Source organism: Homo sapiens, chromosome 6 (assembly GCF_000001405.40).
Source record: "Homo sapiens chromosome 6, GRCh38.p14 Primary Assembly".
Taxonomy (NCBI): domain Eukaryota; kingdom Metazoa; phylum Chordata; class Mammalia; order Primates; family Hominidae; genus Homo; species Homo sapiens.
In genome coordinates this window covers 38,940,956-38,965,413 of record NC_000006.12, presented here as the reverse complement: position 1 = coordinate 38,965,413, position 24,458 = coordinate 38,940,956, and the positions used below count along the sequence as shown (strand labels likewise).

General features: G+C 40.1%; 1 protein-coding gene and 1 long non-coding RNA gene across 9 annotated transcripts in view; one reads left to right on the top strand and one right to left on the bottom strand.

Annotated features, from left to right (window-relative positions):
* The window catches only part of DNAH8 (dynein axonemal heavy chain 8), a 315,482-nt gene that overhangs the window by 65,379 nt on the left and 225,645 nt on the right, over nucleotides 1-24,458 (bottom strand). For 7 of the 8 annotated variants that reach the window (XR_926078.3, NM_001206927.2, XM_011514319.3 and 4 more), the window contains 3 exons: nucleotides 19,826-19,947; nucleotides 15,844-15,962; nucleotides 13,894-14,096 (listed from right to left, as the gene is read on the bottom strand). Coding sequence is in view for 7 of the 8 variants with exons in the window: in NM_001206927.2 (NP_001193856.1) it covers nucleotides 13,894-14,096; nucleotides 15,844-15,962; nucleotides 19,826-19,947 (444 nt within the window). In the remaining variant the exon portion in view is untranslated. Of the gene's footprint in view, nucleotides 1-13,893; nucleotides 14,097-15,843; nucleotides 15,963-19,825; nucleotides 19,948-24,458 lie in introns of those variants that run through there. The other variant, XM_017010326.2, reaches the window with a different exon arrangement.
* Nucleotides 12,307-24,458, top strand: part of DNAH8-AS1 (DNAH8 antisense RNA 1) — a 46,613-nt gene continuing 34,461 nt past the window's right edge. Inside the window, exon 1 of the long non-coding RNA NR_038401.1 lies at nucleotides 12,307-12,366. This is a non-coding gene — a long non-coding RNA (DNAH8 antisense RNA 1). The remainder of the gene's footprint in view (nucleotides 12,367-24,458) is intronic.

Here is a 24,458-nt window from a genome sequence, read left to right as displayed (position 1 = left end):
ATCCTTTTAATATGCATAATCCACAATCCCTTACCTTCATTTCAAAATTCAGAAAGCTCTGAAAATCGTAAATCATTTTGGAGGCAAAAGCTGACCTAAACAGATGTGAGGCTATTTATAGTCTTTATTTATCCCTATCTTCCTGAATATTTATATCTTAGCTGCAGTGTATTATATAATATATGGAATATCACCTTCTAAAAACCAGAACATTCTGATTTCTGAAACATATCTGACTCCAAGGGTTTGTAGACCTATCTATATTAAAATGTATATATGCATATATGTATTATACATTATTTTATTTTATTTTATTTTATTTTATTTTATTTTATTTTATTTTATTTTTTGAGACAGAATCTTGCTTTGTCGCCCAGGCTGGAGTGCAGTGGCACAATCTCGACTCACTGCAACCTCCACCTCCAGGGTTCAAGAGATTCTCATGCCTCAGCTTCCTGAGTAGCTAGGATTACAGGCATGTGCCACCACGCCCGACTAATTTTTTGTATTTTTAATAGAGACAGGGTTTTGCTATGTTTGGCCAGACTGATCTCAAACTCCTGACCTCAAATGATCCTTCTGCCTCAGCCTCCTAAAGTGCTGGGATTACAGGTGTGAGCCACCATGCCCGGACTATACATTATTTTATATCTCTACGTTTCAACAGTATGTTGTGAATATTTTACTGTCATCAAATATTATCAGAAAACAGTTTTTAATGGCAGCACGGTGTTCCATCATGTCATATGCATTCTTGTTCATTCAATCAATACCTTTTTATATATTTAAGACATTTTTGATTTTTCAGTATTATAAATAGCACTAGATTAAACACCCTTGTATATAAATCTGGATGTATGTCTCTCAATATGTTCTTAGGAGGAATTCATACATGGAGAATAGTTTGGATACAGCATTCAAACATTTTTTTAAAATTCACAACATATGAAAAAGGACTCCCAGTGAGGGGCGCCTCTGCCCGGCCGCCCCTACTGGGAAGTGAGGAGCCCCTCTGCCCGGCCAGCCGCCCCGTCCGGGAGGGAGGTGGGGGGGTCAGCCCCCCCGGGAGGGAGGTGGGGGGGGTCAGCCCCCCTGCCCGGCCAGCCGCCCCGTCCGGGAGGTGAGGGGCGCCTCTGCCCGGCCGCCCCTACTGGGAAGTGAGGAGCCCCTCTGCCCGGCCACCACCCCGTCTGGGAGGTGTGCCCAACAGCTCATTGAGAACGGGCCAGGATGACAATGGCGGCTTTGTGGAATAGAAAGGCGGGAAAGGTGGGGAAAAGATTGAGAAATCGGATGGTTGCCGTGTCTGTGTAGAAAGAAGTAGACATGGGAGACTTTTCATTTTGTTCTGCACTAAGAAAAATTCCTCTGCCTTGGGATCCTGTTGATCTGTGACCTTACCCCCAACCCTGTGCTCTCTGAAACATGTGCTGTGTCCACTCAGGGTTAAATGGATTAAGGGCGGTGCAAGATGTGCTTTGTTAAACAGATGCTTGAAGGCAGCATGCTCGTTAAGAGTCATCACCAATCCCTAATCTCAAGTAATCAGGGACACAAACACTGCGGAAGGCCGCAGGGTCCTCTGCCTAGGAAAACCAGAGACCTTTGTTCACTTGTTTATCTGCTGACCTTCCCTCCACTATTGTCCCATGACCCTGCCAAATCCCCCTCTGTGAGAAACACCCAAGAATTATCAATAAAAAAATAAATTTAAAAAAAAAAAAAAAAAAAAAGAATGGACTTTCCCAGGCCAGCTGTGGTGGCTCACGACTGTAATCCCAGCACTGTGGCAGGCCAAGGCGGGCAGATCACCTGAGTTCAGGAGTTCAAGACCAGCCTGACCAACACGGAGAAACCCCGTCTCTACTAAAAATAAAAAAAATTAGCTGGGCGTGGTGGTGCATGCCTGTAATCCCAGCTACTTGGGAGGCTGAGGCAGGAGAATTGCTTGAACCCAGGAGGCAGAGGTTGTTGTGAGCTGAGATTGCACCATTGCACTCCAGCCTGGGCAACAAGAGGGAAACTCCATCAAAAAAAAAAAAAAAAAAAAAGGACTTTCTCAAAGAAAATGTATTTAAATGTCTGCACCAATAATTCCAGCATGTGTATGAATAAATATGATATGTCCTTTACAAAAAAAAAAAAAAAAAAAAAAAAAAAGAAAAAGGACTCCCAGTGTCTCCCACTGAAGTGGAATGCTATAGTCCCCAGCCTACACACCTATCCTTGTTTCTTTGTTTGTGCTTTTATTTTATTTATGGTGCTTTTGACATACAGATTTTTTTTATTTCAACAGGTTTTGGGGGGAACAGGTTGTGTTTGGTTGCATGAATAAGATTTTTAGTGGTGATTTCTGAGATTTTGGTGTACCCATCACCCAAGCAGTGTACCCTCTACCCAATAAGTAGTATTTTATCCCTCACACCCTCAAACCTTTTCTCCCCAGTCCCCAAAGTCCATTGTATCATTCTTAGGCCTTTGTGTCCTCATAGCTTAGTTCCCACTTATGAGTGAGAACATATGTTTGGTTTTCCATTCCTGATTTACTTCACTTAGAATAATGGTCTCCAATTCCACCCAGGTTGCTGCAAATGCCATTATTTTATTCCTTTTTATAACATACAGATGTTTTAAAATTCTTCCAGTCATATTATCTATCTTGTCCCTCTGGTTTTAGACTCAGGTATTATGATTAAGAAAATCTTGGCCACTCAACAATATATAACTAATTGAATATATTCTTTTTCTTGTTTTATAGTTTATTTTAAAGCACTTAATGCCTTAATCGACCTAACATTTAGAGTTTAATGTGAGGTAAAACTTTTATGTTTACTAAAGTTAACCTGCTATCTCAACATTGTTTACTGTCTAACCCACTTTTCCTCCACTGATTGGAAATGCAAATCTTATCACATATTAAGCTATTGTACATACAAGAGTCTAATTTTGGCCCTTTCATTTTGCTCCATATTTATCAATGTTTGTAATGTAAATGATAAAATTATTGGCATTTGATAATGTTTTAAAAATCTGGTGGTGCTGGTTCCCCATTATTCTTATTTTTTTCCATTTCAAGCTTTCTTAGCTATTCTTGTCCATTTGCAATTCTAGAAGCTCTAATATCCCTCTACTATCCAACTAGAAAAACAATGATGCTTGAGTTTCAATTAGACTTGGCTTCAATTTATAGATTAATTTAGGAAATATTGACATCTTTACAACATTGAATCTCTATACTGGGAATGTGGCTTACCTCTCCATTTATTCTAACTACTTTTATGTCTCTAAGAAGGTTTTATAGTTTTCTTTAAATGAGTATTTTAAAAATTATTTCTCAGTTTTATTTTTATTGCTATAATGAAGAGGAGTTTTACATCTTATTTTACAAGAAAGCATCATTTTTTATATATTTATCTTGTAAACAGTCACCTCACTGAACTATTAGACTATTAAGTCTAATAGTTTTTCCGTTGATTCATTTGTATTTTTTGTTAGACAATTATATTGTCTAAGAATAATGTTGATTTTGTCCCTCCTTTCCGGTAGTTACATCTTTTATTTATGATTCTTTCAATACATTAGCCATATCTTCTACAACACAATGCTAAATAACAGTGGCAATAGCAGACATCTGTATCTGACTTTAATGGATATGTCTCTAGTTGTTCGCCAATAAGTATCACGATGTTTGGGGTTCATAATCATTATCATATAAATAAAATATCCTTCTGTTCCTACTTTTCAAAAGTCAAATATAAGTGTTGAATTTTTATAAAATGGCTTTTATAGCACCCATCAAGATAACAGTATGATAGCTTAAGGAGAAGTTTTTCTCTTATTGTTGTGATGAGATTTCTTAATCCTGCATCTTTCTTATATTTGCCCATGTGTTCCAACTTGGTGAAGGCACGTTATTATTTGCAAGTTATTTCTTGATGTTCTATTGAATTCTTCCTTTTCAAAGTCATATTTTGTTTTTCATTGACACATAATGATTGTAAATATTTATGGGTACAGTGTGATGTTTCAATACATGTATACATTGTGTAATGATCAAATCAGGTAATTTAGATATCCGTCACAACATAATTTTCATTTCCCTGTGTTCAGAGCATTCAATATTCTCTCTTCTAGATATTTTGGACTATATATTTTTTTAAAAAATAAATTATGGTTAACTATTCACTTTACTGTGCACTAGAACACTAGAAATCATTCTTCCTCCCCTCTACCCTCCCTCAGTTTCTGGTAGCCACTATTCTACTCTAATTCTAAGAGATCAAATTTGTTAGATTCTCAAGAGTGAGATCATGTGGTATTTGTCATTCTATGCCTAGCTTATTTCATTTAGGATAATGCCCACCGTATTCATCCATGTTGTCACAAATGACATAATGCCATTCTTTTTTTATGGCTGAATAGTATTCCATTGTGTATATGTACCGCATGTTTTAATCCATTCATTTGGTGATGGGTACTTAGGGTGATTCTATATCTTGGCTTTTATGAATAGTGCTGCAGTAAACACGGGAGTACAGATAGATACCTCTACAATATACTGATTTCACTTCGTTTTTTTAAATTTTATATTTAAAATGAAAAAAATCCTTTCAAAGTTTTCTTAATGATTGCACCTCTTTTGGATATGTATTTAGTAGCAGCACTGCTGAATCATAGAGCAGTTCTATTTTTAGTTTTTTGGGGAACCTGCATACTATTCTCCAAAGTACTAATTTACATTTCTACCAATACTGTATGAAGGTTCTTCTTTCTCCACATCATTGCCAGCATGTGTTACTGGTTTTTTTCATACAAGGCATGTAAATTGGGGTGAGATGATATCTCATTGTAGTTTTGATTTGTATTTCTCTGATGACCAATTATGTTCAGCCTTTTTCATATATCTTTTTGCAATTTATATGTCTTATTTTGAGAAATGTCTGTTTGGATCTCTTGTCCACTTTAATAATCAGATTATTATTTTTTTTTTTTTTGCTATTGAGTTGTTTGTGTTACTTATATATTCTGCATATTAACACCTTGTCAGATGCATAGTTTGCAAATATTTTCTCCTGTCCTGTAGGTTATGTCTTTACTATGTTGATTGTTTCCTTTGCCATGCAAAAGCTTTGTAGCTTGAGGTAATCCCAATTGTCTATTTTTGCTTTGGTTGCCTGTTTTTGAGGTCTTACACAAAAAAATATTTGCCCAGACTAATGTTCTGGAGCATTTCCTTCAGTGTTTTCTCATAGTAGTTTCACAATTTCAGGTCTTACATTTCAGTCTTTAATCCACTTTGATTTGATTTTTGTGTATGGTGAGAGATAGGGTCTAGTTTCATTATTCTGCATATAATTACCCAGTTTTCCCAACACCATTTATTGAAAAGATTGATCTTTCCTCATTACATGTTCTAGGCAACTTTGTTGAAGATAAGTTGGTTGTAAATGCATGGGTTTATCTCTGGTTTCTCTATTCTGCTCCATTGGCCTAGTGTCTGGTTTTATGCCACTACCATCCTGTTTTGGTTACTATTGCTTTGTAGTACATTTTGAAGTCAGGTAGTTTGGTGCCTTAAACTTTTTTTTTTAATGCTCAAGACTGCTTTAGCTATTTGGGATTTTGTGTGGTTTCATATACATTTTAGAATTTTTTTCTATCCATAAACAATGACATTGGTATTTTGATAAAGATTGCATGTGAATCTGCAGATTGCTTTGGGTAGCTATGGACATTTTAACAATATTAATTCTTTCAAGTCATTAACACAAGATGTCTTTCCATTTATCTGTGTCCTTTTCAACTTCTTCCATCAATGTTTAATAATTTTCATTGTAGAGATTTTTCACCTCCTTAATTAAATTTACTCCTAGGTATTTTATTTTTTGTAGCTATTTTAAATGGGATTGCTTTTTAAATTTCTTTTTCAGATAGTTCAATGTCGGCATATAGAAACCCTAATTCGTGTAGATTGACTTTGTATCCTACAACTTTACTGAACTTGTTTTTCAGTCCTAACAATTCTTTGGTGGCATCTGTAGGGTTTTCTGTATACATGTCATCTACAAATAGGGACAATTTGACTTCCTCTTTTCAAACTTGGATGCTTTTTATTTCTTTCTCTTGCCTAACTGCTCTAGCTAGACCTTCCTGTACTATGTTGAACAGAAGTGGTGAAAGTAGGCATCATTGTTGTGTTCCTAATTTTAGAGGAAAAGCTTTCAACTTTTCCCAGTTTAGTATGATGTTAGCTATGGGTTTGTCATACATGACCTTTATTGTGTTGAGGTACATTCCTTCATACCTAATTAGTTTAGGGTTTTTATCACAAAGGAATGTTGAATCTTATCCAGTTCTTTCTCTGTGTCTATTGAGATGATCATATGGTTTTTGTCCTTCATTCTATTACTGTCATATATCACACTTACTGATTTATGTACCTTGAAACATCCCTGCATTCCATTTAATCAATGTGAATGATCTTTCGGAGCACTGTTTGATTTGGTTTGCTAGTATTTTGTTGAGGATTTTACATCTATGTTCATCAGGGATATCAGCCTGTATGTAGTTTTCTTTCTTTGTTGTGTCCTTGTGTTTTGATATTAGAGTAATGCTAGTCTCATAGAATGAGTCTGAAAAAATTCCTAGCCACTTCAATTGTTTGGAATAATTTGAGAAGAATAGGTATTATTTCTTCCTTAAATGTTTGATAGAATTCCATAATGAAGCCATCAGTTCCTGGGCTTTTTTTTTTTTTTTTTTTTTTTGATGGGAGACTTAATCACTGATTCAATCTCATTACTCATTATTGGCTATTCAGGTTTTCTAATTCTTCATAATTCAGTCTTGGTAGGTTATATTTGTCCAGAAATTTATCCATTTATTCTAAGTTTTCCAATTTGTTGGCATGTAATTTTTCATAACAATCTTTAATGATCTTTTGTATTTCTGTGTTATCAGTTATGATGTCTCCTTTTTCATCTCTGTTTTTTTTTTTTTCCAGTCATATCTCTTTTTTTCTTAGTCTGGCCAAAGGTGTACTGATTTTATCATTTCAAAAATATATCACTTCATTTTGTTGATCATTTGTACTTTTAAAAATTTCTATCGGCCGGGCGCGGTGGCTCACGCCTGTAATCCCAGCACTTTGGGAGGCTGAGGTGGGTGGATCACAAGGTCAGGAGATCTATATCATCCTGGCTAACATGGTGAAACCCCGTCTCTACTAAAAATACAAAAAAAAAATTAGTCAGGCGTGGTGGCTGGCACCTGCAGTCCCAGCTACTCGGGAGGCTGAGGCAGGAGAATGGCGTGAACCCAGGAGGCGGAGCTTGCAGTGAGCCGAGATCTCACCACTGCATTCCAGCCTGGGAGACAACAAGACTTCATAAAAAAAAACAAAACAAAACACTATTGTATTTATTTCTACTCTGATCTTTATTATTTCTTTCCTTCAAATTTTGAGTTGAATTTGTTCTTGTCTTTCTAGTTCCTTGAGATGCAACATTAGGTTATTTGTGATCTTGTTTTTTTTTTTTTTTTTTTTTGGTGTAGGCATTTATTGCTCTAAACTTCTTAGAGGTGCTTTTGTTGTATTCCATAGATTATGGTGTGTTGTATTTCCATTTTCACTTGCCTCAAGAAATTGTTAAATCTCCTTTTAAATTTCTTCTTTGACTCATTGGTTATTCAGGAACATATTGTTTACTTTCCTTGTATTTGTACAGTTTCCAAAGTTCCTACTGTTACTGATTTCTAGTTTCATTCCATTGTGGTCAAGAAAGATACTTGGTAGGTTTCCAGTTTTTTTTAATTTGTTAAGACTTGTTTTGTGGCTTCATATATGATCTATCCTCAAGAATGTTCCATGTGCTGTTTAAAAACATGTATATTTTACAACTATTGGATGGAATGTTCTGTAAATGTCTGTTAGGTCCATTTGATTTAGAGTATGGTTTAACTCTAATGTTTCTTTATTGATTTTCTATCTGGGTGATTTGTCCATTGCTGAAAATGGGATGTTGAAGCCCCCTACTATTATTGTATTGCAGTCTATCCTTTTAGGTCTATTAATATTTACATTTTTATTAATTATATCTTTTATTATAATTAATATATATATTAATTTTTATATATCTTTATACACTTAGGTGCTCTGATGTTGGGTGCATTGTGTGTATGCACACATGCACTCTTGTTGTATTTACCCTTAATCACTGTATAATGGCCTTCTTTTACAGTATTTGGTTTATAGTCTATTTTATCTGATATAAGCATAGTTACTCCTGTTCTTTTTATGGTGCCCATTTGCATAGAATATCTTTTCCATCCTTCATTTTCAGTCTGTGTGTATCCTTCCAGGTAAAATGAGTCTCTTGTAGGCAGCATATAGCTGGGTCTTTTTTAAAAAATCCATTAAGCCACTCTGTGTCTCTTAATCGTAGATTTTAATCCATTTACATTCAAGGTAATTGTTGGTAGGTAAGGACTAACTACTGCCATTTTGTTACTTGTTTTCTAGTTGATTTGTAGATCCTTTCTTCTTCCATTCTTCCTCTCTTGCAGTCTTCCCTTGGTCGGGGTTAAGTGATTTTCTCTAGTAGTATGTTTTGATTCCTTACTTTTTAGTTTTAGTGTATCTAATATAGGTTTTTGCTTTGTGGTTACCATGAGGCTTACCAAAAAATCTGATATTTATAACAAGTTTTTTGTTGTTGTTGTTTTGTTTTGTTTTGTTTTTTAGGGACAATGTGCCTGAACTGTGTGAGACAGTTGGTCAGGGACACAAGCCCAGAAGCCTGTCCCAGTGGCCCAGATGGGTTTGTCTTCCAGCAAGTCTCTGCACAGATGGGATAGTTTCCAAATGCAGCAGGAGGAGCCAAGGCTGAGACCGGAGCCCTTCAGGACTTGACGTGGGGCAGAGCTGGCAAGCCCACCTCATTGGTTCAGATGGGAGTGTGTCTCCCAGCAGGTCTCTGCACAAATTAGTTTCCTGACTACAGCAGGAGGAACTGGAGCTGAGACTGGGCCCTTTTGGGATCTGCTGGAGGATGATGGCTGAAGAGCTCATCTCATTGGCTCAGAAGGGCATGTATCTCCCAGTAGATCCCTGCACAGGTAGGATAGTTCCCTGACTGCAGCAGGAGGGACCAGAGCTGACAGTGGGCACCCTTGGTATCTGCTGGGGTACAGAGGTTGATGAGCCCTTCATGGAGGCTCAGACTCCCAGTCTGCTAGATATGAGCAAGCCTCCTTCTGGGCTCTTGCACAGTTAGCTCTGAGTTGGGACCTCAGCTGAGGGTGGTTGGAGACAAGCCACAGGGCAACTTTCAAGTTCACTGCCAAGATCGATGTTGGCAGGCAGACGAGCCTCTGCACTGAGACACTAGTGTGCCTGATTCCACCTACAACCCTTGGCAGTTGGTTTTAGTTGCAGGCTCAAGGCCAAAAAGGGCTATAGCCAAACTCCTTGGGGAGCAGGGCCATTTCTAGGCTTGAACCTGGAAGCACAATTGGCAGATCTGCCATTTGGGTGTCAGTTTGTGCTCTCAAAACAACCCTCCTAGGTCTTGGATTTTAATAGGGTTTCACAACCTTCTACCTATATCCCGAGGTTCCTGCAGAGAGACTTTGTCTGTAGATGGATACAGAATTCCTGATGTGGTGGTGGGATATGAGGGAGGGATATGTGGAGGGATATGAGACATCTTGCTGACATCACTATAAATTCATCTTGCTTGTGATTTAGTTAAGATCCTTACATTTATTTATTTATTTATTTTTGAGATGGAGTCTCACTCTGTCACCCAGGCTGGAGTGCAATGGCACAATCTCGGCTCACTGCAACCTCCACCTCCCAGGTTCAAGCTATTCTCATGTCTCAGCCTCCCGAGTAACTGGGATTACAAGTGCCCGCCACCACACCCAGCTAATTTTTGTATTTTTAGTAGACATGGGGTTTTGCCATGTTGGTCAGGCTGACCTCAAACTCCTGACCTCAGATGATCCACCCACCTCGGCCTCCCAAAGTGCTGGGATTACAGGCATGAGCCACCATGCCCAGCCAGTTTTCTTTCTTTTATGCAGTTACTATCTGGGTCGGTTTACTGTTTCAGAATAATGCAAATAAAGAGGAAAATGGGCCAGATGAAGTGGTTCATGCCTGTAATCCCAACACTTTAGGAGGCCAAGGAGGGAGGATCACTTGAGCTCAGGAGTTCAAGACCAGCCTGGGAAACATAATGAGACCTCATCTCTACAAAAAAACAGAAAACAAAATGTGGCTAGGATTAGTGGTGTGTGCCTGTAGTCCCAGCTACTTGGAAGGCTGAGGTAGGAGGATCACTTGAGCCTGGGAGGTCAAGGCTTTAGTGAGCCATGATTGCACCACTGCACTCCAGCCTGGGTGACAGAGTGGGAGCCTGTCTCAAAAGAAAAAGGAAAATGTATTCTCTTTTTCCATCTTTTGGAACAGAATATAGCATATGAGAGTCCTTGAAAGTTTTAAAGGACTTATCAGAAAATTATCCAAGCCTAGAGCCTTTGCTGATGTAATAATTTTAAAACTTCTACTTTTTCTCCCCTTGATTATTGGTTTATTCAGGGTTTTCTACCTTTTCTGAGGAAATTTTCTAAATTCATATGTTTCTATAAATTTGCCAATTTTAATGAGATGCTGTAATTTATTTTTTTTTTTTTTTTTTTTTTTTTTGAGACGGAGTTTCGCTCTGTCGCCCAGGCTGGAGTGCAGTGGCGCGATCTCGACTCACTGCAAGCTCCGCCTCCCGGGTTCACGCCATTCTCCTGCCTCAGCCTCCCGTGTAGCTGGGACTACAGGCGCGCGCCACCATGCCCGGCTAATTTTTGTATTTTTAGTAGAGACGGGGTTTCACCGTGTTAGCCAGGATGGTCTCGATCTCCTGACCTCGTGATCCGCCCGTCTCGGCCTCCCAAAGTGCTGGGATTACAGGCGTGAGCCACCGCGCCCGGCCTGTAATTTATTACTATAATTATGAGCCATTCTCTTATTATTTAAAATGTTAAAATGTTTCATCTGTACATATTGTTATATCAGTTTTCCCACTACTACTTTTGTGTGGTTGTGGGGTTTTATGTATTTGTTCTCTTTCGTTTGTTTTTAGGTGTTCTTTTTAAGCCCATCCTTCCTCTGAGACCTCCCTCCTCCAGTAGTCAGGCTCCTAGAAAGGCTCTCGTGCTAAACCCATCTGCTTTCTCCACTTTGCCCATGTACCCAGTACTCTGTGCAGAGTTTATCTGCTCCAAATTTCTCACTACAGATCTTGACCAGTACAAGACAATATCTATAACCAAAGTTTCCCTTCTCCTCTTTTTCTACAAAAACTTATTGATTCTGTCCCATCCGTATGTTATTTTCGGGTAGCTGGTTAATTCATTCAATGAAAACAATGAGAAGGAATGAAAAAGAAAGACCAATGAGATCACTGAAGTGGGGTTCCTGAGATAAGTTCTGAACCAGATCTGCCACGGACTAGGTCTGGGGCCTTATCTCCAGACCATAGTTTCCCCCAACTGTTAAAAAAAAAAAAAAAAGTAATTGGATTTCAAGATTTCCAGTCACATTCACCTGAAGCATTCTATGATTATTTATTATCCAGATTTTCAAATAAAATATTAATAGCTGAGACTACATTAACATGTTGTTCGGTATGTGTAATAGTTCCATTTTAACAGCTATCTTTGGGACTTTCAACCCAAAGCAGCAAGCAGCCTGAGACTTCCTAATACTGCTCAAATGATTTGGCAGTAGAATTGTTTATAAAATTCATTTGATCCTTCAGTGTTAAAGCCAAATCTATGTTGTTCCAGTACCCTAATAAAGTAATCAATAGAAGCCTGGATTGTTGTTGGAAAAAGTAAGGTAGGACCAAGAAACGGAAACCACCAAATTGCCAAGCAAAGCAGTATGATAACACTAAAGGATATAACACAAGTCTGCCCTTCTGCATTCATTTAATGTCAGTTATAATTTCTCCCAAAGGAGACCTTGAATTTTTTAATTATGTTCTCAAATTACAACATTTGAAATGGTAACTCTAGTTGAATACTCCTTCTTCTAGGCGTTGTATCTTCTAAGAAATGTCCCCCATTCCAGCTCTGTACATAAGGTTTCTACTAGGAACCTATCTCCAGAGCGACAGTTCATTGATTGGCCCAGAAAGGAGTGCATGACCAAAGCAAAGACAATGAGTTACTTCCCTGGATATTGGAACTTGGAACCATGACAATAAGAGGAGTTTCCCTGAGGGTGCTGAACATTCTGAGCACGTAAGCAGTGAAGCCCATGAGCCACTAGAAGCCACATGTTCTGCCATGTGGAGAAGAATGGTAAGTGTTAAGAGAGAAAAAATATACCTGTGTGCAGAGAGAAGTGAGGCTTAGAGGCAGCTGGATAAACACTCATAGAGCAACAGATTTGAGAGAGATTTGCAAACTATAAGGCTACTCGAGAGGCATCACTCTGAGATAAACTCAGACGGCTGGTGTGCTGCAGTAAATACTAGAGCAAAACTGCCTACTTTGAAGATAGCGAATGAGACTTAACCATGAGCAGTTGCCAATAGAACCTGGGAGCTCTTTGCATTGGTATCAGTGTTCAGACAGAAGACCGTGGCCATTTGAACACTGATCCACTGAGAATATAGAACAGTGTGGTGACAACAAATAGAGTGAAGTCAAGATGAGAAAAGAGAACATGAACATGGACCATGCTACCGTAGCTTGGTTTTATGCAGAGGGACATGTGGCTAGTACGTGGACATGACTGAATTGATTTTATATCATGCTTATGTCGACTATGTAATAAATTTAATGTAATTTTACTTCACAGGATAGATTTAGTGATTCATAATCAATCACTGTAATACTCAAAAGACATGATTGGATTAACCCTACAAGGTATAGTTACAGATACCTGACCCTAGAAGATTGCAAATGCCAATGTCAACAGCATTCCGATTTTCAGAGTATGAATGAAGCAAGGGATAAACAGTCCTTCTTACAGGATGGCTCAGTCCTGTCAAGAAAGTCCTTCTTACAGGATGGCTCAGTCCTGTCAAGATGTGCTCTGCATCCCTGTCCTTTAATCCTACTGACTCAGTCACACTTATAAACACTTCTGTGTTTATAACTTCTTTCCCATCTCCTCTCCCTGGAGTAACTTTCTATCTCCCACCACCCCACCTGGTAAATTTTATCTATTTTTTAATTTCCTACTCAAATATCATCAATGTGATGTTTTCCCCTATACCCCAGGCAATCCGAGTAGCTCTGAATCCTGTGATCAGCCACTTCTATGAAACATTTACTGCAGTTGTCACATTGCCTTCAATTACATGTTTACGTGTCTGTCTTTCCCAGCTGTGTTGTATTCATCTCTGTGCTCCCCAGATCTAGCACACTGCCTGTACTGAATGGTTATTAAGTGAAAGCAATGAAATAATTAATCCCTAACTACTATGCATTACAATAATGGTTATAGTTTTTTAATTTGTGACAAAATAAACTTTGCTGTAATTTTATATAGACATGGCAATAACATAAACTTTGGCTATTGTGTGTTCATTCTTGTTAGTCAGCTATCCATGCAATACAGCTATCTCCTTAGAACTTAAAACACAACCAATCAAAAAAAAAACACTATATGCTAGATGAGCATGTTCTTCTCTAAACAAAGATACCTATATCATACCCTCACTTTAGGAGGTATGAAAGGATGAAAGAGGAATAAGTTTAATATTTTTCGAATTCAGTTTTACATCTATTTCTAAGAATCAGTTATAAAATTACGAAAGGCAAAATTTGGGGCAAAAAAATATGGAAGTGTTGCTACATTTTGTAGATTGCTAGTCTTACCCAGTTTCAGTTTCTTGGCCAATGCATCAATTTGATTGGTGGGGTCAGATCCCATGGACAGGAAGCATATCAGAGGTGTCCGGGTATCACTTTCTTCCCAAGTTTTCTCCAGATTTAAGATAACTGGTTCTGTGTACTTCTCCTCCAAAGAATCTGCAATATACTTTCTTGCTTGAAAAACAGTACGGTCTGGGCACCAAGACCTAAAAATGAATACAAGTTAGGCGAAATAAACTAAACGTGTTCAATTTTTATCCTATCTGAGTAAGTAAAAACATACATTTAATTAGCAAAAGGGCAACAAGTTAATTCCTACTTTTCCACATCTAAGTAAGAGGAATGGCAAGGTTTCCTATCACAGATGAGCACAAACTTAATCGTGTGGTTTTGGTACCAGCCAGGCATTGGCAAGAAGTAGGGCAGAGCCCATAACAACACAGTGTCCTCTACCAGCTCCAACACATGGTAGGGGCTGACCTGCCACACACTCTGAAGCTCCACAGCCTTTTCAGAGGAGGAACCAATATGCCAAAGATGCCCAAAGTAAGTGGGTCAGCAAGCATTTGTGGCATACCATTTGTGTAGTGCACACCATAGCAAGTTCTACACACACAGACACATTGGATAAGTGTCATTTAATATTGATATGGTAAAGCACAGACAAGCCCCACAGACTTTTTTTTTTTTGGTGCTACTAGATTGCACTATTTGACATAGATCTAATTTTTAAGTGACGGATTAAAAAATAAGACACATTTGTTCCAATAAAACTAAGTAGCCCTGGCCAGGCACGGTGGCTCATGCTTGTAATCCCAGCACTTTGGAAGGCCAAGGCTGGCAGATCACGAGGTTAGGAGATCGAGACCATCCTGACTAACACAGTGAAACCCCATCTCTACTAAAAATACAAAAAATTAGCCGGGCGTGGTGGCAGGCGCCTGTAGTCCCAGCTACTCAGGAGGCTGAGGCAGGAGACTGGAGTGAACCCGGGAGGCGGAGCTTACAGTGAGCCAAGATCATGCCACTGCACTCCAGCCTGGGTGACAGAGTGAGACTCTGTCTCAAAAAAAAAAAAAAGCCTTTTCATACTCTGCGGACTATGAGGTCAACATTAGCGTTGTTCTGGTCACTCTTGAAGGTTGACAATATCTAAGAAACAGCTTTTTCTAAGAAGTGGAAACTTAGGTGTATAACATTAGAAAAGAAAAAATTGCTTCAAAATAACTCTACCTCTCATTTTTCATGTGGGGGTCTCATCTCCCCTGCTTTACTCCTCTGCCTTACCCATCCACCATACAAACACACACACACACACACACACACACACACACGCAGACACACACACTGATTTTTTTCAATGTGGAAGGTCTCTGAGTTACTGGATACTGAGAAAATGTAAACAGTGAAAAGAGAGGGCGATTTTCTTCTTTAACATCAATTTCAAACTTTTGTTTCCATTTTATAGCCAAAAGTAGCATTTATATATTTCAAATTCAGTGCAATATTATTGGGTTTTTTTCTCGAATGCAATTTAACTTTAGCTTATAAGCTAATTGTCTTGTAACTTTGTGAGGTCTGTTTTTTTAAAGAAATAAATTCAACAATAACTGATTTACACTCAATGGTAAATCATGAACAAAGTGAATATTAAAAGCATATTTTTCACGCTTTTTGCTAAAAGCACTATCATTAATACGTTGTCAAAATACATCATTCCCTGTCACCATCACCATTTTATTTTGCTTGTCAAGGAACTGAAGAACTGCTATCCAAAACCATAATTTGGAAGTACATACATTTCTTATAATATTAGGTTGGCACAAAAGTAATTGCGGTTTTTGCCGTTACTTTCAATGACAGTGATATAGTGAAGTAAACTCACTGAGATAAAATCTGTAATTTAGCAATATTATGAGTGATGCTTCTAGGTCTGATAATGCCTGTTCTCACCTGATAAGTAAAAGTTTATGGCAGGTATCTAGTGAATCATTATATCCATCAGGGATAATTTCCTCCTCTGGAGCATCTTTATCAAACCAGCTTTTCCACCCCTTCTCATTACGAGATATCTAAAAGAAGCAAGCCAATTAGCAAGCCACAGAACTATATGTAAGTGGAATATATTACAAAGGATTCTGAATCACCTGAGAGGGTCATTCTTTACAGGCAGATAATTTTTCAAGCATAACAGCACAGTTTAAACCTTTCTTCAGGATCAATGACTTGAATAACTTGGATATTACTATTCCCTTCCAGTTCTTCCATTATTTTTCTACATTATTCGCTACAATTAGGATCGTGTGTCAACTGCACCAAATGATTGGGCCAGAAGAAACACAAATCAAGGTTTCTCAAGCTTGGTATTACTGTCATTTGGATCTGAATTTTTTTTGTGGGGGGTGCTGTCCTGGGCATTGTAGGATGTTTAGCAGCGTCCCTATCCACTAGATGCCAGTAGCACCCTCCACCCGGGTCCTAACAATCAAAAATGTCTCCAGACACAGCCAAATGCCCCTGGGGGTGGGTAGATTACCCTCAGTTGAGAACCACTGACAGACCATTCTGATAACCCAACCTCTAAATGTTGATCTCTACTTAAAAATAATGATAGATGACAAAATCAAAACTTTTATTTTCCTAGTGATCCCCCACCTTGAGACCTAAAGCCTAATAACGAAAGGAGTCTCTCCAACAGCTGGTCTTAAATATTGTTCAGAAGCATGAAAAGGACTTCAGGTTTTCAGAGGCATTAAAAGGTGCTCACTGACGCCCAAGTTCCATCAAGACTAAGTACGAAAACTATAGATTATTGAGCCTATCCCTGCTCTTCAGCAACAATCAGGCTGGGTTATTTAGACGGTGTTTGTAAGTGTGCTTTTAAAAAAGCCACAGTACACAGTGGCTCATGCCTGTAAGCACTTTGGGAGGCCGAGGCGGGCAGATCACCTGAGGTCGGGAGTTCGAGACCAGCCTGACCAACATGGAGAAACCCTGTCTCTACTAAAAATAAAAAAATTAGCCGGGCGTGGTGGCACATGCCTGTAATCCCAGCTACTCGGGAGGCTGAGGCAGGAGAATCACTTGAACCGAGGAGGCAGATGTTGCTGTGAGCCAAGATTGTGCCATTGCACTCCAGCTCTGGGCAACAAGAGCGAAACTCCCCCTCAAAAACAAAAAAATAAAAAAATTAAAATTAAAATAAAAAAGCCACAGTAAGCAGTAATAGCAAATAGCAAAGGCTCACATAGCAGATGCCCTATGCCAGACCTGAGGATTACACTTTTTCCTCTATGACCCCTACTTTTTATTGAGGCATAGAGAGGTTAAATAACTGTCCAAAGTCTCATATCTGTGGTGTGAACAATTCATCATACAGGATACAGATAGAGTATAAATTAATAACAGAACAGTTATTCTGCAACTCAGTTGCTCCCACTTTGTCCCTGGGGCACTAAAAGATGAAGGGGATTTCTGGCCTGGCATGGTGGCTCATGCCTGTAATCCCAGCACTTTGGGAGGCAGAGGCGGGCAGAGTGCCTGAGCTCAGGAGTTCGCGACCAGCTTGGGCAACACGGTGGAACTCCGTCCCTACTAAAATACAAAAAATTAGCTGGGCGTGGCAGCGTGTATCTGTAATCCTAGCTACTCAGGAGACTGAGACAGAAGAATTGTTTCAACCCAGGAGCTGGAGGTTGCAGTGAGCTGAGATTGCGCCATTGCACTCCAGCCTGGGCAACAGAGTGAGACTCCATCTCAAGAAAAAAAAAAAAGAAGAGGATTTCTGAAATGTTTCACAACTGCCATCTATCTCCTGAAGATTGCAGCAGCTCTCTCTGGTTGGCTGCCCTCAAAGAAGATGCCTGCATGCCAGGGCCTGGGTGTTGCGAGCCCTACCTTGCCCCTGCCCACAGTGTCCCCCACAGGCCTCCTCCACATCTGCAGCTGAGGCACAGGAAGAAAGCGGATGACTATTCTTCACCTACTGACTTTCCACCTGCTAATTTTGACTTGACCACAGTAGAGCTTCAAAGTGAGCTGCAGCCATGATAGGTGATAAGATGACTTCCAGCCTCTGGATGTCCATCTCCATTTCTCATTCCTTTTCCTGACCCTTGGCCTGGGATGCCAAGGTCAGGGCAGCTGCTCTATTATATTTCAGTTCCTGACATCCACTCAGCTGGGAGATTGATCTTCTGCTTCCTCCCTTCCTTCCCACAGGCAGGCCAGACTGATGGCCACCTGACTGCAGGTCTCCGCTGAACTTTTGCAACCTTCCTGAGAACTGCCCCTCACCCCACTTCTGGCCCAATCGGTGGTGTAAGAGGAGTGGGAGAGAAATAACTCATGATGGCATGGGAAGAGCATGAGCTTTGCCACTTATTGGCAATGGGCTCTTGGGCAAGTACTTAACTAACTCTTTGAATCTCTGTTATCTCATCTATAAATTAGGGTCAATAACTCTGCCCTTCTGTGGCAGGGTTATTGTTGCAAAGTACCTATCCCATAGTAAGCAGTAATAGCTACTATATTCTACCTCATGAGTAGTTAAAACCTAGTTGGCAGAGGCAAACAATAATAAATATCCTTGTATCAATATAAACCATCATTAGAGGGCGTGGGCTTCAAGTGATTTTTCCAGTGGTTCTTGACTATCTCCCTTACCCAATCTCTGATCAGACCGAGATCACTTTCTTTTCTTTTTTTTTCCCCCAAGACAGAGTCTCACACTGTCACCCAGGCTGGAGTGCAACGGTGCAATTTCGGCTCACTGCAACCCCCGCTTCCCAGTTTTAAGCGATTCTCCTGCCTCAGCCTCCCGAGTAGCTGGGATTACAGGCACCCGCCACCACACCCAGCTAATATTTTGTATTTTTAGTAGAGTCGGGGTTTCACTATGTTGGTCAGGCTGGTCTCAAACTCCTGACCTCGTGATCCACCTGGCTCAGCCTCCTAAAGTGCTGGGATTACAGGCGTGAACCATCGGGCCCAGCCCAAGATCACTTTCTTTTTCCAAGCATTTGTTTGGGCTTGGAGGACTCATCTGTGGTTGTACTACAAAACAAAGCTCACTGTCTATCCACAGATGGAACCCAGAGAGTTTATCCAATTGACTCAGACCCAACCAGGCTGAATAGGTAGAGTCTACACAATGTTTCAGAAATGCCACTAAACAAACAGAGGCAGCTAACACAGTATGTTGGGCAGGGGATTGGTGATTACAGCATGAGGCTCTGACAACCTGCAGTCTACCTATGGCCCCATCTGTCAGTCACTAGCAGCCATAGAAAAGAGATGATTATTGGCATCTGACACTGGGAAACTGCAGGCTCCATTAGTGACAGGCAGTTGCAGCCAACAGAACCCAGTAAGAAACAGCTATCTTTATTCTGAGTCTCATGATTGTTTTCCAGTAACAATTGACTCAACAATTAATCCACAGTAATCAATGTACATTTTCAAATAAGAAAAAAACAACAAGCAAATCGGTACCTATTTCTCCATTTTCACCATTATATTTCACCACTAAAATAATTAATTTTTTAGAGGGACCTCAACCTCTTAATTTGACTCACATTCAAATCTGTACAAATCACTTAATCATAGGCAGAAGTTAAAGTGTAAAAGCATGAGTCGTCTACAATAAAAGGGTCCATCTACTGGTTCTGATTCCAGCAGCAACTCTAACAGGCATACAAAAATGACCCATGCCCACCACACAGGAGGAAAACATAGTTGCCTGCAACTATGAAGAGGTTAACCCTGAGGTCCATCTGTCCAAGATCTCTCCCAGACAGCCACAGAGCCTCAAATCCAAACTATTGGGTTGACTTTTTTGGGTGAAGGAATTGCTGCCAGGAAGCCCCAGTTTAAGCGGCCCAGGTATGTTTGGGTTTGCAGATCTGCACTTTCAACCAGCCCTTTATTGTATTACCTGGTTCATAATTTCTGCAAATTGTGGAAGTTTACTCAGCTCCACAAGATTCAGCCAAGTCATGTCAAGGATCCAGCGATAGGGTTTGGGAGGACAGGCTTTCAGGTCCAGAGCTGCTCCCCCTGGGGAAGAGCGTCAGACAGGGTGAATTGGGTAAGCCTGTACTTCACTTCTAGAAATGTACTTTTCAAATAATAAAAGCAAAATAGCCACATTACTGAAAATATAGGAAAATTGGAAAATAATAATATTACAGAAAATGTGAGGGTTTTTTGGTACATTTCCTTCAAGTCTTAGTGTTTTATTTACTGATTTATACCATCTTATAAGGTATAAATAACAACTCTGTCATTTTTCCCTGCAAAGAATTTTTCTCAAGTGATTATATTTGTTTGCTTTTTATTTTTTAACAACCTAAAACTTATAATTTTGATATCAATGAATATGTTGATCTTTCCATGTGTGGATTTTAAATATCACTTCTTAGTCATTACTCCTCCAGAAGCTTGCCATTAAAAACTACTTGTTACCAGGTCAAACAGATAGATAAAGACATGGATGGGTTAGGGTTGGGGTTAAGGTTAGGGTTAGGGTTAGGGTTAGGGTTAGGGTTAGGGTTAAGGTTGGGGTTAGGGTTAAGGAAGGAGGGTGGGAGAAACATAGGCCAGGGATAAAAAGAGGGGGGGAATAAAGAAGGAAGTGAAGGAGGAAATGATATAATAGATCTATGGGTTTTTTAGTGGATGAGTAATATTTAAATCATTTATCCATTCATTGATTGAACAAATATTTATTGAGCGCCCTCCAGGTGTTTGACATGTTCCAGACACTGGGGGATATAGCACAGAAAACCCAACCAGGCCCTTGCTTTTACAGAGCTTGAGTCCAGTGGAGAATGAGTTACAGCATTGATCATATTCTGAAGCATATCTCAGGCCAAATGGGCATACCCAGCATTTTCCAATGAAATACATGATGATATTTACAATTTAAAAATTCCTCTATTGCATGTCTTTAGTAATGTATCATAATAATTCCAGCTCCACTGTTGTTTAATTCAGATGCATGCAAAGCAGTGATTCTTTAACTTTTAAATCTTATCATCTTCCTTAAGAACTCATCATTCCTTCCAGTTCACAAATCAACTCATGGACCAAAAAGGGGCTTGGGGGAACTACAGGTCTTTGCTCTCCCCATCTAGCATCGTCCTGAGTAGCTGTATGAACGAAAGTACTTTTTTCATGTAAACCCATTTGCTTCACCACAGGGGACTTGGGAATCTGTGGCTCTGAGTGCAACAACACCTTTAGAACAATGTGTAAACCTTCTTCTTACTGTCGGCCCCTCTGCAACCTGGAGACAGAGCAGGTCTCACTGGAGCAACAGTATTGCTAATGTAGGAGTCACTGGTGCGAGAAGCAGCCACTAGAGAGAGCCACCTGCAGGCCTGGCACAGAGACAAACTCACCCCTTTTCTTCTTGGTTGTTTCCAAAGAAATGTTTTCATGTAATCCTGAGCTTTAGAGACACCAGGAGAAGAAATCTAAGCTACCTTTGTGTTTCCTAAACTAACCCAGAACAATGACAGCCCTTCCTATTCCCCCAAAATATCCTGGCTCTGCCGCTTGTTAGCTGCATAAACTTGAACAAAAAAACATGAATCCCTCTCAGTTTCCTCATCTGCCAAGTGGATGTCTGATAGAATCTACCAGATTGGCTGCTGTGAAGGTTAAATACATTAATGTACCTAGAACAGTATAGAATAATAATAAGAGCTATGTAATCATTAGCTCTTGTTCTGACATTCTTTCTCTCTCTCTTTTTCTTTCCCCGCTTGGAAGGCCCAGGTTCAGTCCAGTTTGGAAGGCAAGAAAAGACCCCCTAAGGTGTCTTTTTGTACAGAGTCTATGACAAAAGAAAGATAATATCTTTCTAAAATAACCAGACAGGGAAGAAAGATAAGTCCATTGCTCTATAATGCAGGATTGCGCCTGGTATCCATTTCATTTTTCAAAGTGTTCTGACATTTTTGGTTGAAGAAGAAAGTCAAAGGCACCTTGCAAATATTGCAGAAAGCAAGTAGTAATTGAAACAAACAAAAAAAACCTGTCACTCTTGGGAAATCAAACATTTCTGCTAGGATAAATAACTCTTCCACTCTCCCCCTTAAGTATTGAGTTCAAAATGATTTTTTAAAAGTATCTGTGATCTAAGGATCATATTTGTTAACTTTGTAAAGAAACATTAAAAACAAAGTCATACCATCTTTTAAAGATAATTCAGTCAAAATGTAAGCCAGTTCAAAACTAAAACAAATGTTATGTTTTGTTTAAAAAGAAAAACTCCTTTATTGCTAAGCCAATTGTACTGCTGTCAATCAACCTATCATAAAATCCCAAATTAATCTTCTTAAAGCACTGTTCTGTTCATGCCACATCCCTGCTCATAAAACATTCGATGGCTCCCTATTGCCAACTAAATTAAATCCAAACTCCTCTCACTGACTCTCCTGGCCCTATACAGTATAGTTCTCCCTGACTCCAATTTCATGAAATGGGGTCACAAATGTGCTCACACCACAACCCATGTGTTCAGCCTTCTTTATTTTTCTGTAACAAATCTAATCCTCCCTGATGAATTCCCTCCCCACTGTGTTGCCGTGTTTCTCAGTCTCCTCTGGTTTACCCACCCTCTTTCAAATAACCCAGTCTCTTTCAGGTAGTAGCTCTGGTCTGCCTGGTTGGTAGGTGGGAGAGGTGAGACGGGGTGGGACTATGTCTTAGTATCGAGCATGCCTCAGGTATGCAGGCTGCCCTCCAGGCTTCCCACACCTCAGGTGCAGGCTAGGTCCCTGTACTGTATCCTATGAGCTACGACAAATGCTATCTGTTGGGGCCCTGGACTGCAATCCACTGCCCCAGCTCCTGGCATTGGTCCTTTGTCTGCAGGTACAAAGTTCTCTTTCTTGACAGCTTTTTGGTTTGACCTCTAGTCTCTGCTGTGTGCCAGCCAAACCTCAGGCTCACCCATCCAGCCATTCCCCTGCTTCCATGGTGGGTGTGACACTGGGCAGAATGCAGGGGCATCTCCTATCTGGGAGTTTCTCCGGCACTCTCCCCTTCTCAGCTCCCTCAGGAGGCAAGGAAGAGATGAGGATCTTTGCACCTGACCTCCTCTTTCTACCTCTGACCTCCTTTTTCCTTCCCACCATCCACTGTGGACCCAGGCACCAGGTTTCCCACTTCTTCCTTTCTATGTCATATGTGCCTCCTTCTCAGGGGTCATATTAGCAGATGGCATTGAGGAAGCAAAGCCAGCTCACCAGTAAGGAAAGATTCAAAAGTATACTTCTCCTCCACTCGTATTGCACGGTATCTTTGTCCATTCAGCCACTATCACCAAATACCATACGCTGGGTGGCTTAGAAACAACAGAAATTTTTATTTCTCACAGCTCTGGAGGCTGGGGAGTCCAAGATCAAGACCCTGATGAATTCAACGTCTGGTGAGGGCCCATTTCCTGGTGCATAGATGGCTCCTTTCATGGTGTCCTGACATGGTGGGAGGGGGAGTGAGCTCCCTCAGGCCTCTTTCATAAAGGCACTAACCCCATTCACGAGAGCTCTACCCTCATGACCTAATCACCTTCCAAAGGCCTCACATGCTAATACCATCACCTTGGAGGGGGTGGGGTAAGATTTCAACAGATGAAGTTTGAGGGGACACAAACATTCAGACCATGGTGCATAGATATGAGGCTTCCCCAGATTGTGGGGGTCATTTTGCTGCCACTGCTGCCTGGATTTCAGCACGCTTCAATGCCCCCTACCCCCCTGCTCAGCATCATACAATACCAGGGCTGCAGCCCAAGTCCAAGTGAGGGCTTAAAGATTTTTGAAATGAGGTAAAATAGGTTTCCAGATTGGGTAAATTCACTTACTTTACTTAAGCATCCCCAAGACCAAAACCTCATACATCTTGACACTCTCTGCAGTGCCTCCTCCCCACCCTAGATAGTGTTCATTGTACCACACCACACTGCCTTAAAAAACCAACTTCCATAAGTGCATTAGACCTGTGAAAAAAATATGAACCACATGATACATTTCAACTTCCTTGGAACTACCAGAAATAAAACCTGTGTTCATGAAAAAGGCACAAAGAAGAGATTTCAGAGATGATGCAAAATAGTTTGCGAAGTTTCCACAGTGGTAATCTAACCTGAATCTGAGGAAGGAATTAAATGAAGTAGAGAAAGAGTAAGAAGTTATCGGTGACTGCCCGTTTATTATAAATAGGCTGCAGAGGACAAAAGTATAGCAGGTCCTATCACCTTGTGGGTTAGAAATACTCCACATTTTTTCCCTAGATTAGCTTTCATTCCCATGGCTTTGGCTGTTATTTCTGTACCCCATCTTTGTAACTGCCTGACTCTTCTCTTGGACTGTCTAGATTCCTTTTTTTTTTTTCTGAGACAGAGTCTCACTCTGTCACCAGGCTGGAGTGCAGTGGCATGATCTCTGCTCACTGCAACCTCCGACTCCCTGGTTCAAGTGATTCTCCTGCTTCAGCTTCCCGAGTAGCTGGGACTACAGACACGTGCCACCACGCCCAGCTAATTTTTGTATTTTTAG